Source organism: Homo sapiens, chromosome 12, assembly GCF_000001405.40.
Source record: "Homo sapiens chromosome 12, GRCh38.p14 Primary Assembly".
In the NCBI taxonomy this organism is placed as follows: Eukaryota; Metazoa; Chordata; class Mammalia; order Primates; family Hominidae; genus Homo; species Homo sapiens.
The window spans coordinates 107,043,644-107,060,258 of NC_000012.12; the positions used below are offsets into that span (position 1 = coordinate 107,043,644).

The following is a 16,615-nucleotide window of genomic DNA, read 5'->3' on the forward strand; positions in this document are numbered from 1 at the left end:
TACCTAGAGTGTGAGTTGCTGAGATACCCATCTCCCTTGATGGTGGGGTCAGAACTGTGCTGTTCCCTGTTCCTCGCAGGGTCCAATGACAGCTGTGCTCTGCCATTCTGGGTATTTGCTGCCACTACATCTGGCCTCCCAGAGGGAGGATACTGCTGAGCCCCACTATACCACGGTCTAGAGTTATTACTACACAGTTGCTCATCCTCTAGAACCCAAATTGCCACTGAGCCCTATTGGCTCAGATTCCTAAACTGCAGCTGAATTTTGCTCCCCAGGCTCAAACCTCCAAAGTACCCCTTACTCCATGGAGTCAGGCCAGAGCTGTGTTCTGCCTCCTTCAGGGGTAGAATCATAGCTACAACTCAGCTTCCTGAGACCAGGCTGCTAGATGGTACCTGAGTCACAGATTTTGGTTCTATGGACAACCGGTATCCAACCCTGCCACAGAAAGCGAACCTGTACTCCAAGACCCAGTTGCCAAAACAGGGTCATGAGACCCTGAGATTAGGACCTCCATCTGCCCCACAGCTGCTCTGGACATCTGCACCTGGAACCCAGAGCTGCTGCAGCTGCTTGTAGGTTGTGTCAGACCTGACAATAAGAGGAATCCCCTTGGCTAAGTCTCCTAATTGTGGGGAAAATGAGAATAGAAGAATCCCAAAAAGCCTATGACACCAAGAACATTAACAATCTATGCTGCTGCAGCTGCTGCCGCCACAAAGTTCTACAGCCTAGGCTACTGAGGTGCCCACAGTTATTGCTGATGTTCAATGCAGCTGGAGCAGCTGCATGGAGACTATACCACTGCACCTATCTGGAAAGAGAGTCACCATACCCTTTCCAAATGGCACACTAAAACCCAATAACAGGTGAAAGTCTGTCTCTATGAAAGATATTTTAGGAAGTTTGGAAGAGACAACTGTTCTACCAGATGCACAGACATCAATGCAGGGACCAATACAGACAGACTATTCAATGAAATCAGGAAAACAATTCACAATATAAACAAGAAATTCAACAAAGAGATATAAATAAAAAGAACCAAACAAAAACGCTGTAGCTGAAGAATTCAATAAATGAAATTTAAAGAAATACATTAGAGAGCTTCAGCAGCACACTTTGATCAAAAAGAAAGAATCTCTGAATATGAAGGTAAGTTATTTGAAATTTGTCATTGGAGAAAGAAAAGGAAATAAGAATGAAAAAGAACGAAGAAAGCCTACAAGACTTATGAGACAACATTAAGCAAACAAAACTTTCTATTATGGGAGTTTCAGAAGAAGAAGGGAAAAGGTGTAGAAAAACCTATTTAATGAAATCATAGCAGAAAACTTCTCAAGTCTGGGGAGAAATATGCACATTCAGATCCAGGAAGCTCAAAGGTCCCCAAATAGATTCAATCCAAATCATTCCTCACGGCACATTACAGTCAAATTGTCAAAAGTTAAAGACAAAGAGAGAATTCTAAAAACAGCAAGAGAAAAGTGTCAAGTCATATAAAAGGAAATCTCCATTAGACTAATAGCAGATTTCTCTGAAGAAAGCTCACAGGCCAGGAGAAAATGGGATGATCTATTCAAAGTGCTAAGAGAAAAAAAAAATGCCACCAAAAATACCATACTCAGCAAAGATATCCTTCAGAAACAAGGGAGAAATAAAATCTTTCCCAGACAAGCAAAACTGAGGAAATTTATCACCACTAGATAAGGCTTACAAGAAATTCTCAAGGGCAGCCGGGTGCAGTGGCTCATGCTCGTAATCCCAGCACTTTGGGAGGCTGAAGTGGGTGGATCATGAGGTCAAGAGATAGAGACAAGCATGGCCAACGTGGCGAAACCCTGTCTCTACTAAAAATACAAAAATTTGTCAGTTTTGGCTTCTGTTGCCATTGCTTTTGGTATTTTATACATGAAGTCCTTGCCCATGCCTATGTCCCGAATGGTATTGCCTAGGTTTTCTTCTAGGGTTTTTATGGTTTTAGGTCTAACATTTAAGTCTTTAATCCATCTTGAATTAATTTTTGTATAAGGTGTAAGGAAGGGATCCAGTTTCAGCCTTCTACCTATGGCTAGCCAGTTGTCCCAGCTCACTCATAGTGGGGGAACTGAACAATGAGAACACTTGGACACAGGAAGGGGGACATCACACACCGGGGCCTGTTGTGGGGTGCGGGGAGCGGGGGAGGGATAGCATTAGGAGATATACCTAATGTAAATGATAAGTTAATGGGTGCAGCACACCAACATGGCACATGTATACATATGTAACAAACCTGCATGTTGTCCACATGTACCCTAGAACTTAAAGTATAATTACAAAAAAATACAAAAATTAGCTAGGTGTGGTGGCCAGCACCTGTAGTCCCAGCTATTCAGGAGGCTGGGGCAGGAGAATTGCTTGAACCTAGGAGGCGGAGGTTGCAGTGAGCCGAGATTGCACCACTGCACTCCAGCCTGGCGACAGAGCAAGACTCTGTCTTAAAAAAAAAAAAAAAAAATTAGTTGGGCATGGTGGCACACACCTGTCATCCCAGCTACTCGGGAGGCTGAGGCACAAGAATCACTTGAACCCAGGAAGTGGAGGTTCCAGTGAGCCAAGATCATGTGACTGCACTCCAGGCTGGGTGACAGAGTGAGACTTTGCCTCAAAAAAAAAAAATGCTCAAAGGCATCCTACATCTAAAAACACAAAGACAATAATCACTATCACGTAAATATGCACAAGTATAAAACTCACTGGTAGAACAGATAACACAAATTAGAAAAAGAATAAAAACTTACAACTACAGAAAACCACCAAACCACAATGATAAACAATAAGAGAGAAAGAAAGAAACAAAGAATACACAAAACAACTAACAAAGTGACAGGAATAAGACCTCACCAATCAGTAATAACCTTGAATAATAAATTGATTAAATTCCCCACTAAAAAGCTACAGAGTAGCCAAATGGATTTTAAAAACAAAATGATCCAATTGTATTCTGCCAACAAGAAACTTAATTCACCTGTAAGAAACATACAGAATGAAAGTGAAGGGATGAATAAAGATATTCCACACAAACAAAAACCAAAAGCAAAAAGGAATAGCAATATTTACACTAGACAAAGCAGAATTTAAGTCAAAAACTAAAAAGAAACAAAAGCTCATAATATAATGATAAAAGGATCAATTCAACAAGAGGATATAACAACTGTTAATATAATGTATCCAACACTGGAGCACCCAGATATAAAGCAAATATTATTCAATCTAAAAGGATAGATTCCATTACAATAATAGGGACTTAATCATCCAACTCTCAGCATTGAGAAGATCATCTAGGCAGAAGAAAATCAACAAAGAAACACTGGACTTAAACTGCACTCAAGACCAAATGGACCCAACAGACATTTAGAACACTTCGTTCCACAGTTGTAGAATACACATTCTTTTCATTGGCATATGAAACGTTCTTGTGGACAGACCACACGTTAGGTCACAAAACAAGACACAACAAATTTAAGATAACTGAAATCATATCAAGTATCTTTTCTGACCACAATGGAATAAAATTATAAATCACTACAAGAACTTTTGAAGTTATACAAATATAGGGAAATCAAAGAACCCACTTCTGAATGACCAGTGGATCAATGAAGAAATTAAGAAAAAGATTTAAACATTTAAATCATTTCATTTGAAACAAATGAAAATTAAAAACCAACATACCAAAACCTATGGACTACAACAAAAACAGTATTAAGAAGCTTATAGCAATAAACACTGATATGGTTTGGCTCTGTGTCCACACCCAAATCTCATCTTGAATTGTAGTTCCCATAATCCCAAAGTGTCATGGGAGGAACTAGGTGGAAGGTAATTGAATCATGGAGGCAGTTCCCACCATGCTGTTCTCCTTATAGTGAATTTGTTCTCACAAGATCTGATGATTTTATAAGAAGCTTCCCCCTTTGCTTGGCACTCATTTTCCTTCCTGCTGCCACGTGAAGAAGGATGAGTTTGCTTCCCCTTCTGCCATGATTGTAAGGTTTCTTAAGGCCTCCCCAGCCCTGCAGAACTGTGAGTCAATTAAACCTCTTTTCTTTATAAATTACCCAGTCTCAGGTATTTCTTCACAGCGGTATAAGAACAGACTAATACAAACACCTATGTCAGAAAAGTAGGAAGATTTCAAATAAACAATCTAACAATGCATTACAAGGAACCAGACAAGCAAAAACAAAGCAAACCCAAAATTCATAGAGAAAAAAACCAATCAAGGTTGGTGCAAAATAAACAAAATTGAGACTAAAAAAAATTACAAAAGATCAACAAAATGAAAATTTTTAAAGACAAAATTGACAAACCAATAGGTAGACTAATATAGAAAACAAGTACTATTATAAAATAACTGTTCAAAGCAATTATATTATTTTTTGAATGCTAGTATCCATTCAGATTTTTTTTTTTGAGATGGACTCTTGCTCTGTCGCCCAGGCTGGAGTGCAATGGCATTATCTCCATTTACTGCAACCTCCGCCCCCTGGGTTCAAGCAATTCTCCTGCCTCAGACTTCTGAGTAGCTGGGATTACAGGCACCTGCCACCACACCTGGCTAACTTTTTGTATTTTTAGTAGAGACAGGGTTTCACTACGTTGGCCAGGCTGGTCTCGAACTCTGGACCTCATGATCCACCCACCTCGGCCTCCCAAAGTGCTGGGATTACAGGCGTGCGCTACTGTGCCCAGCCATTCATTCAGATTTATCCACATACTTATGGTTTCTATTGCTCTTTATATCTTTCTGTATCTCTGTATTTCTATATAGAATCATTTTCCTTTTGCCTGGCAAAACCCCTCTAGATTTCCTTCATATTTGATCTGCAGATTCTGTTTATCTGTCCTCTCCTTTTGGGATTTCAATACAAACATTTCAGATTCCTTTACCAAATACCGTATGTCTCTCATGCTATTTTCTGTATTTTCCATCCTATTATTTTGTGTTTGAATCTGGCTATTTCTTCTGAACTATCAGTTTATCAATTCTCTCCTCAGCTATATCTAATCTTCTGATAAACCTATCCACTGACTTGTTAACTTCAGCTATCGTATTTTTCATTTCTAATATTTTCATTTGAGTATTTAAAGCTCTCTGTCAAAATTCCCTATTGTATTCAATTTTTGAAAATATTAATCACAGCTGTTTTTAAATCCATAATTGATAAGTCTAATGTGGATTTCCTATGAGTCTAATTGTCTGGTTTTTTTCCTCCTGGTTTCAGTCATTTTTTGTCTTTCAAAATGCCTGGTTATTTTTTACCGTGTTCCAGACATTATATTTAAAAAGCTATAGATATCCTCCTTTAGAGAACCTTAACATTTACTTGTGGCACACTTCTAAAATATGATCTAACACCATTAATCACTTAAGTATTAAGCTGATTTCCCTATGGACTTTAGTGCTTGTATAGGATATTTTACTCACTCTATTCCTAGGATATTGCCTTTCAGGGGTTTCAACCAAAAGCTGAAATAGTCCAGGGCTCCTCTTCCTTGTTAGTCTCTGAACTCCATTTTTTTCCCTTTCAGCCCAACACAACTGCTAAAAATTCTGCTCAGTCTCTCAGTCACCATTGTAATTTTCAGAATTGACTTTTGCATTAAGGAAAAAACAGCATCAAATGTCAAGTTCGATTATCTTGGTTTTCCTTTTCTTCCAGATCTTAGCCCCACAAATTCTTACTATCTTTTTTTTGTTTGTTTTGGGATGGGGTCTCATTCTGTTGGCCAGGCCAGAGTGCAGTAGTGCGATCTTGGCTCACTGCAGCCTCCGCCTCCTGGGGTCAAGTGATTCTCCTGACTCAGCCTCCTGAGTAGCTGGGACTACAGGCACGTGCCACCAAACCTGACTAATTTTTGTATTTTTTTAAGTAGAGTTGGGGTTTCACCATGTTGGCCAGCCTGGTCTCAAACTCCTGACCTCAAGTGATCTCCCTACTTCGGCCTCCCAAAGTGCTGGAATTACAGGTGTGAGCCATCGTGTCCAGACAAATTCTTATTATCTGTGTAACTCTCTGATGGCTTCAAAGAGATTTTTAAAAAATATTTTCTCAGCTTTCCTATGTATTTTTAGTATACATACCTGGTGTTTGGTCTAGGACAACCAAATCAGCCACTTCCAGAAGTAGAAATGCCCAGTTTAACATGTATTTAGTTTGAAGTGCCTATGAGACATCCAAGAGGACTTGTTAATTATAAAATGATGTACATAATTCTGGAATTTAAGCTAGACATCTGCAATAGTAGACATAAATTTGGGACTTACTGTAGAAATGGCCCTAATTGCTATAAAACTAGATATACAAGTGGAAGAACAGTTGGAAGGAAGAAAAACTAAGGCATTCAAGGAAGTAAGGAGATAAAGAAAATGGAGTGGTTACAAAAGACAAAGTGGGGGAGACACAAGGGGAAAGTAAAAGCAAGAGAGCATCTTTCCATAAGAAAATAGGAATAATGGAAAGAGAAGAAGAAAAAGCTAGAAAAAATGGAAAGGTAGAGAGAAAAACAATGAGGAGGGCTGGGAAGAAAGATGGCAAGGGGAGGGAAGTTTGGAAGAAGGAAGGTAGGATAGGCAGGTAGCACCAAAAAAGGAAGGGAGAGACAGAATAAGTGATATGATTTGGACATTGTGTCCCCTACAAAGCTCATGTTGAAATGTGACCTCCAGTATTGGAGGTGGGCCTAGGGGGGAGCCATTTGGGTCACTGGGGCAGATACCTCATCAATGGGTTGGTGCTATCGTCATGATGCGTGAGTTTTCACTCTATTAGTTCATGTAAGATTTGGTTGTTTAAAAGACCCTGGCACCTCCTCCCCTCTCTCTTGCTCCCTCTCTTGTCATGTGATTCTCCTGCTTCCCTTTCACCTTCTGCCACAATTGTAAGTTTCCTGAGGCCCTCAACAGAAGCAAGTGTTAGCAGCAGCTTCCAGTATAGCCTACAGAAGTGTGTGCCAAAATATCTCTTTTCTTTATAAATTACCTAGTCTGAGATGTTCCCTCATAGCAGCACAAACAGAAATAACACAAAAAGGAAGAAAGGCTGACAGAAAGGACAGACCTTTGTAAGATGGATCTTTGTAAAGATGACAGAGACAGACTAACCAGCCTTGGAAGGACAGACTAACCAGTCTTAGAAAGGACAAATGGGTGTTTGGATGTCAATTATGAAAGAAGGAGGGGGCAGCATGAAAGAAAGGAAGAGTGGAATGGATGAGAAAGAGCAGGACAGAAAGATTCAGACACTTTGATAAGGAGACTTAACAGGAAGTGAGTATGAGAGCTCTAGAAAAAAGAAAATAATGAAAGAACAACAAAATAAATCCAATTAAGATAGCCACTAAATATGATGTGGTTTTCAAAAGAAAGGTGGAGAAACAGTTTAAAAATTTCAAACAAGAGGGTTATGAACCTGTCATGGACTGAAAACAAATTTCAATTACATGCGTTTACACATTTGAAAATAAAAATGTTCCCTAACCATATAGCTGTTATGTAATTATATGAAAAACATGTGTTATGTAGAGAAAAAACAAACAAACAAACAGAAACAACAGAACTATTCTTAACTAATCCTGTGAGTCACATTATCTTATTTAGGTAAAAAGTTACATTTAGGCCTGTATTAATTTTTAAATATTCTTATAGTCCTACTGCTTTTATGTCCTTTTTATGGTAAAATATTAGTGACCAATAAAATGCAGAAAATTGTATCTGAAGCACTTTCATTCACTCATTCTTTCAATCAACATTTGGGTATTTTCTTGAGTTAAAAAAAATCAATAAAGCTTTAAAAATAGATAAATAAGAAGATACAGAATTCCCATCCTTGAAGCCTCCCAAATTTAATGAGAATAAGATATGGATATTACCTATCAAACTGCATTATTAAAGTTCATGGCACAGAGGAGTCAATCTGTCAAGGAAGGTCCATAAAGTTTCACGAAGATAATCTTTGATATGGGCCTTTTAACTATCATAGCATTTCACTTTGTGACAGCAGCATAAAATGATCTGTAATAGAAGTATATATACCTTCTAGAGTTGAATTACACTAGCACAAGTCTATATAACTTATGCCACCATGATTTCAAAAACCACATAGAGGTAATTGTAATCTAAGGCTCCTACTAATTTTTATCTATTTTTAAAGAACACTATATTGTGACTCCAAAGGGGAGGGAAAATCAGCAGAACATCTACTTGGGGACTTTAGGAGACTTATATAAAATTAAATAAAATCTGTTAAGCATTTGTAAAAGGCAAATTAGAACTATATATAATGATTTTCTGTAGTCTAAAAGAAATTTCCCTTCTCAAAAAAATTATTCAAAAATGCTGAAAATTATTCTGATTTTTCTGACCTATGATATAAATTGTAAACAACTATCCCAAGTTTGCACGAGGTTTTTCTAACGGTTACTTGGTAAGGATGATTTTTAAAGAGAAAGACAAGAAAAAGAAAATCAAGAAGGTCATAAAAGAACCTAGAATTCTATACCCAGTGTAAATAAGGATGGTATCTTCAGACAAACTTGGGAGAGTTTACCATTAGCAGCCTTTTACTATAGAGAATTCTAAAAAATCTAACGTAATTAGATTTGAGACTCTCCTAAAATGACAGTACCTCTTTACCACAAGGGCAGTCCCTTGAATAACACTTTATAATCATTTATTTATTCAACAAATATTTATTGAGAACTTATGTACTAAAGACTGTACTAGATATTAGAAACACACCTGTGGTTTTTTAAAGTCAAACTTCCTACAATTTGAAGCTAATATTCTAGAAGGAGAGGGAGTAAAGACAGAATAATACAAAAACAGTAAAGCAAACTGTTCAAATGGTAATAACTGAATAACATAAAGTTAAAGGGGAAACTGGGACTTCAGGGAATAAAGGAATGGAGACTGGTATTTTATATGAAACAAGTCAAGAAAATACTCACTGATAATAGAACATCTGTGCAGAAACCTGAAGGAAAGTTGGAGAGCAAGCAGTGCTGGTAAGGAAACATTTTGTGCAGAGGGAACAGCAGATGTACAACACAGGTGAAGAACATGCATGGCACTTTAAAAAGAATACTCAAAAAACCAGTATGGCCACAGCACAGAGAGTGAAAGAGTGGCAAGAGATTATTAGGTTAGAAAGTTATCAAGTTCCAGTTCACATGACATCTTGTAGACTATGGTAAGGGCTCTGCCTTTTACTCTGAGATATAAGCCACTAGAGATTGATCCTACTTGTGATTATGAAGGATCACAATGAGCTGAAGAGGAAGAAGGAGAGAACCAGAGAATCTGAAGGGAAATTATTCGGTAGTTAATGTGGAAGCATGAGATGGTCCGAACTTGGATACATTTTGAAGGCAGAGCCCATATAATTTAATCAACATGTTTAAAGTAAAAAAAGCAAGGAATAAGAAATGGCAGATTTGAAAAAGAACCAAAGAAAATCTCCATATATGAAAAATATAATAATTGAAATCCAAACTTAACAGATACAGTTAAAAATAACATTTATAGAATAGCTGATAAAAAGACATTTTTAAAAATGAAGTACAGAGAACCAAAGAGATGGAAAATATGAAGAAAATAAAAGAGTGCAGTAAAAATGTCTAACACACGTACAAATGTATTTTTTTTTTGAGACGGAGTTTCACTCTTGCTGCCCAGGCTGGAGTGCAATGGCGCAATCTCAGCTCACCATAACCTCTGCCTCCCGGGTTCAAGCAATTCTCCTGCCTCAGCCTCCTGAGTAGCTGGGATTACAGGCATGTGCCACCACACCCGACAAATTTTTTGTATTTTTAGTAGAGAGGGGGTTTCTCCATGTTGGTCAGGCTGATCTCGAACTTCCAACCTCAGGTGATTTGCCTGCCTCGGCCTCCCAAAGTGCTGGGATTACAGGCATAAGCCACGGTGGCCGGCTACAAATGTATTTCCAAAAAGAGAAAATAAAGCAAGGCAAAGCAAGATCTGAAAAAGTAACAGCTGAAAAACTTTCAAAGCTGATGAAAGATAGCAACAGACAGGTTTCAAGGAGCACTGTAAATCCAAGAGAAGTAAATACAAAGAAACTCAGACGGAGATTCATCATCGAAAAACTTCAGAACATGTCAGAGAAAGAGAATATTTAAAATTAGACAAAAAGAAACAAGATATTACCCCCAAAAAAAGTATGAGTGGGAGTGGCAGCTGACTATAACTACATCCCCAACAGGCTCAGAGAAAATCACTGTCAACCTAGAATTCTATATCCAGTGTAAACAAGGCCAGTATCTTCAAACAAACCTAAGAGAGTTTACCATCACCAGTCTTTTTCTATAGAGAATTCTAAAAGATACATCTGAGATAAAAGAAAAATGTTCCCCAATGGAAGAGCTGAGATGCTAGGAAGAATAAAGAACATTGTAAATAGTAGATATGTGGGTAAATGAATACTGGCCTTATAAAACAAGAATAATATATTTTGGTTTTTAAAAACAAAAACAGAGAAATGACCAGAATTAGAATATATAAATCAGAAGAAAGGTAATTAGAGTTTGCGTTTCAAGGGCCTTGAATTATCTAATAAATAGACAAAATTATTGATTAACTTTAGACATTAACCAATGTGCTTCTGGTAATTTCTAGAGTAAACACTAAAAGAATAGCTAAAATAATGTGTAATTATTTTATTAATTAATAAATTTATTAAGTCTGATAAATTAATAAATCTAGTTATTAGAAAGAAATTAATGAAATTTAAAACAACAGAATTTAAAAGAATATTAAAAAATAGAACAGGAAGGACAAAAAGAAAACACAAAATAATATGACAATAAATCCAAATACTTTGGTAATTATAACAAATGTAAACAGACTAACGAAAGGCTTCAATTAATTAAAAACTATCAGACTAAATAAACAAAAGTTAATATATGCTATTTACAAGAGACATCTAAAAGACTCCAGAAAGTTTGAAAAAAAAAAAAAGGGATACAAAAAAGTTGACTATAAACATACCAAAGAAAGCTGCCATAGCTATATTAATTATAAACATAATGAACTGTAAAGAAATATACTATAAAGTCACGTTCATAATGACTTTAACCAGGTTAATAATCATCTAAATATATACATATTTTACACATTTCTCCACACCTCGTAATGATAAGAACAAAAGCCTTCACTTCACCAGGAGAACATATATTTAATTTTAGCATTTCAAATTGTATAAAGTAAAAATGACAGAGCTTCAAATAAAGACAGATCTATGATTAAACTGTGGGGATTTTAACATTCTTCTGATAATAATTGAGATAAGCAGACCAAAAATGAGTACAGAAGATTTGGACAACTTATTAACAACCTTGACCTAATGGAAAAACAAAGAATATCCCGTCTAATAACAATGAAGACAGCAGTATACACATGGAACATTTTTAAAAATTCAGCATATATTGGACCATTTAAAAAAAAGTCTATATAAATTTCAAAGAACTGAAATTATTTACAGCATAGTCTCTGACCTTGACGTATTTATGCTAAAAATTAATACTGAAAAGACAATTAGAAAACTTTGCATGTTTGGAATATAATAAATATTATAAGTAACAAAGGATATAATTCTAAATAATTCACAGACCAAAGAAAAAAATCATAACAAAATTTAGAAAATATTTTGAACTGAATAATGAAAATACCACATTAAAGAGAATGTGGAATAAAACTACAGTAGCAATTAGAGGGATATTTACACACCTAAATAATTGTATCAGATAAAAAGGAAAGGCTAAAAATAGCCTAAGAATTCAGCCTATTAAATTGAATAGGCTAAATAGGGTATTCAATAGGCTAACTCCATTTCAATAAGTTAGCGTAAAAAAAAGCAGAACAAAGAAATAAAATTAACACATTCTGAAATAAAAAACAAACCTACCATAGTGAAGGCAAATAAAGTTGGTTGTCTGAAAAGACAATAAAACTAACCAACCTCTGATGAAATGTATCAGGACAAAAGGTAGGAGACACAAATAAGCAATATCAAAAATGAAAAGGTTTGGGTGTAATTGCTCACACCTGTAATCCCAGCACTTTGGGAGACTGAGGCAGGAGAATGGCTTGAGTGTAGGAGACAGAGCAAGACCCTGTCTCAAAAAAAAAAAGAATGAAAGAAAAGGGCAAAATAACCATAGATACTACATATATTTATATCAAACAAGAATAAAGCTAAATGGGTTTCAATTTCAAGTAACAGCTTAGGTTATTTAGATCAATCTAATTGGTCTAAACAAACAAAAATACTGGTTAAGATATATAAAATATCTCCCTAAAGAGTTGGCAAGACAATAAGGAATTCCCAAACCAAAAGCTAAGTCGAACATATAATTAGTTTTTGCCCTAAGAACATTTGCTAATAATCCCAGAGAACCTTAATAGTGGTTTTGACAGCCTCACGGTACAAGGACAGAAATTAAAGCCTAGAACCAGCTCAAGACAGAGAGTCTAAGATACTCCAAAACATTAAGCCAAGATGCCAAAAGGCTAGACATCGTTAGGGAAGACGTGAACCAGAAACAAAATCCTCCTCCACACCTTTTGTGAGGTTGCCTTGGCACTCAGCAGAAAAAGATGGAAAATATAAATAAAAAGTAAAGAATTTATAGGCTGTAAGCACTGGCCAGCCCTTAGGTGGATTTTCATCAGAGGGGCACAAGAAATCTCAAACAATAAATTTAAAGTGCCCTGCAGTGGTAATGACTCTAATGCCATTAAGAAGTAAGTTCAAATTCTAGAGCAAGCTTGCCCAACCTGTGGCCTGCGGGCTGCATGTGGCCCAGGTCAGCTTTGAATGTGGCCCAACACAATTTTGTAAACTTTCTCAAAACATTATGAGATTTAAGCACAGACTTTTTTTTTTTTAAGCTCATCAGCTATCATTAATGTTAGTATATTTTATGTGTAGCCTATGACAATTCTTCCAATGTGGCCCAGGGAAGCCAAAAGATTGTTCTAGAGGAAGACAACCTTATAAAAGGCCTCAGGAAGTTCCCACAAATAATCTTTCAAAAAATGAGAAAAATCTTCAAAGCAGCTAGAGGATAGGAGTAGATGACAAATTACATTCAAAGGAGAAACAGTTTCCAACAGCAATAAAGGTAACCAGAAGACAACAGAATATTTTCAATAAACTGGTAACAAACCCAGAAACCTAAAATTCTATATTCATGAAGATATCTTTCAAGAATTAAGACAAACATATAGACATTTTGATAAAAGATAAAAGAGTTTGTCTCCAAAAGATGTCACTAAAAAAAATTCTAAATGATATATTTTAGGCAGAAGTAAAGTGATTACAGATGATTGTCTAGTATGTAAGAAATATGTAAAGCTATCATGTAACAATAAAAAAAAGAAAAAATTAAGAGAAAATGAAGTCACTGCATTAGATGCCTCCTAAGTACTTACAATACAGAAGAGCAAATAGTTACATAAGCACCATAATATACTGCAGTAAGTATTGTACAATACTTAGTCATACTTTTGTTAACAAGATTGAAAAATCTACACTGACTAAACAATGAAAATGGTATAAAGAAAGCCCAATAAATGCCAAGTAGAAAGATTTATGGAGTGCCTGTCACTTAATAGGCATAAATAATAATCAGCAAATAATGGGTTGGCAAATCAGGAGGCAATATGGCACAGGAATTTAAAAAGAAAGCCCTGCCTACCCACTCGTGAATGAGTAAAACGAGCGGAATCTAACATCAGGAGTGAGGGAATAGAAGAATGCCTCTTTCTTTCTCTCCAAAGTTTTCTCACAAACCCACATTTCAAAGATGAGAGGACTGGCATATAATTGAGTAAAACTGCAAAAACAAACAAAAGCCTTTAAGAAAAGTTTCAGCTTAGCTGGGCGTGGTGGTATGTGCCTGTACTCCTAGCTACTTGGGAGGCTGAGGTGGGAGGATCACCTGAGTCCAGGAGCTGGGGGCCACAGTGGACTATCATCATGCCACTGTACTCCAGCCTGGGTGACAGAGCAAGACCCTGTCTCTATAAGAATGAATAAATAAATGAAAAAATAAGAATGAGTTAATTAAGGTTAGGACTGGTGGCTCACACCTGTAACTGCAACACTTTGGAAGGCTGAGTCAAGAGAACTGATTGAGGCCAGGAGTTCAAGACCAGCCTGGGCAACAAAGTGAGACGCCGTCTCTCCAAAAAAACAACAAAAAAAATTAGCTGGGCATGGTGGCATGTGCCTGTGGTCCCAGTTACTCAGGAGGCTGAGGCCACTTGAGCCCAGGAGTTTGAGGCTGTAGTAAGCCATGATCACACCACTGCACTCCAGCCTGGGCAACAGAGCAAGGCCCTGTCTCAAAAATAAAAAAACAAACAAATATATAAAGTGTCAGGAATATTCAAACTGAAGTTTAAAAAAAAGTTAAAGATGAGAATATAACTCCTTTTAAAATTCATGCTCATGGCAAGAAAATTAACAAAGAGAATACAAGCCTATAACTCAGAATAATATAATATTAATAAATGACAGAGAGAATGCAGAACGTCCTCTTCCACTAGCACCTGGTAAATACATACACACAGACACAGATGCACACACACACACTCACACGCTTCAATAAGAAACTTTAAATAGGAGTGTACAAACCTAAAGAGAGAACAAAAGTCCAAGATAAACCTCTTGGCAAGAGTAACAGAACACCACAGACACAATGAATGAGCTCAAGTTGAGAAAATAGTTACAGGACTGGAGATGAAAAAACAAGTTGGATTTTTAAAGGTGGCTATCAGTGGGGAAAATTCCTTACAAGCCAGTAAGTGTGCTTACTTTCCTCAGGAAGGTAACATAAAGGGTTATTAAACAAAGTTTAGAAGTACTTAGAAAACAGAGCTTGTTCTAAAATAAAAAACTGAATTACTAATAAGGTCATGTCAAGATAACCTCTTTTCACTTTCTGATTATTAGACTGGCAATAACATATGACAATAGTATATGGCAAAGTAAATGATGCTTTTTGCGAAGACAGAAAATTCTGAATGTTGATAAGATTTTTAACTGGATGAATTGTAGCCAATAAAGTATTGTTGAATGAATAAATTCTAACCTGGAATAAGGATTCTAATACCAATGAGCCTATCATGAGGCTTTCTGTACCCATACAGCTCTTGATGATTTCATAATTATTTTCAATTATACAAAAAAGCTAAAAGGATTTGGAATCTAATCAATCACGTTTTATATTAAGACACTGTAAGCACAGATATGGCCTAGGGCAAGTGGTTTAATCTCACTGGACCTATTTCCTCATCTAATAAGTGGACGAAATCAGTGACATTCAAACTTTCTGGCAGTCCCTCATATTAATAGTAAGAAAAATGATCCAGTGCAACTAACATGTATGTGTTTGGTGTATGTAACTAAAACAAAAGTTTCATAAAACAGAATGCTCTTATGACATAATGTGCCTAATATTTTCTAGTCTATTTCATTATTTTTAATGTAAGTTACAACCCCCCAAATTGATATCATAACCAAAAATGGGACATGAATAGAGATTTTGTTTATTTTTCTGAAACAGGGTCTTGTTCTGTTGCCCAGGCTGGAGTGCAGTAGCATGATCACAGCTCACTGCAGCCTCAACCTCCCTGGCTCAAGTGGCCCTTCTGCCTCAGCCTCCTGAGTACTGAAACTAGTGGGCACCACCATACTTGTCTAATTTTTTTTCCGTTTTTTTAGTAGAGATGAAGTCTCGCTATGTTGCCCAGGCTGGTCTTGAACTCATGGCCTCAAGCAATCCTCCCACTTCAGCCTCCCAAAGTGTTGAGATTACAGGCATGAGCTACCATGCCTGATCATGAATACAGGTTTGAAAAAATAATGGACAAGACTTCTAAAGTCATCTATATACAGCTGTACAATTTAATAAATAGTTCTCCAATTTAGATATCAAACAAAATCCATGATATCCAACCAGTAGATGATGTATACTATATCAACATAAATAGTAATGATGATCTCACAGTGACAGAACTCAGAATTATACCAAACAACTGAACACTGGGTTGAAAACAAAATGAATCTACACAGGTAAGGCTCTGCATTTAGGTTCAGAAATCCTCTCAACAGAGCCTGGCAGCAGGTGAAATGAACAAGACCTGCAGGCTTTAGTTAACTTCAAGCCTATTATGTGATCTCAGTGTAATTCACCAATTTATTGTTATCTATAAATAATACTGTTTTTAATAAATATGTGTGATATAAATAAATATTTTGGTACTATGCAGATCAAAGGTAATCTGAGATCAAATTTAATCTGGATCAGAGTGATCAGTTGTAGTCCCCATCCATGTAACATAAAAGAACAAAATATTGATATTATATGCGTTGATATTAATATACATTTTACTGAGTATAATTTCCCCAATATAGTATGCTAAGTATTTTTCTTTATCTCATTTAATACTCAAACAATTCTATGAGATATGTGGTGCTATAGTTTGAATGTGTCCCCCAAAAAGCACATGTTAGAAACTTAATCCCCAATGCAACAACGTTCAGAA

General features: G+C 36.4%; 1 protein-coding gene across 17 annotated transcripts in view; it reads right to left on the reverse strand.

Annotated features, from left to right (window-relative positions):
- Positions 1-16,615, reverse strand: part of CRY1 (cryptochrome circadian regulator 1) — a 102,186-nt gene that overhangs the window by 52,280 nt on the left and 33,291 nt on the right. Inside the window, exon 1 of one of the 17 annotated variants that reach the window (XM_047428319.1) lies at positions 6,128-6,150. The exons of the other annotated variants lie outside the window; for them this stretch is intronic. The gene's annotated coding sequence lies outside the window, so the exon portion shown is untranslated. Of the gene's footprint in view, positions 1-6,127; positions 6,151-16,615 lie in introns of those variants that run through there. 17 annotated transcript variants of the gene reach the window in all.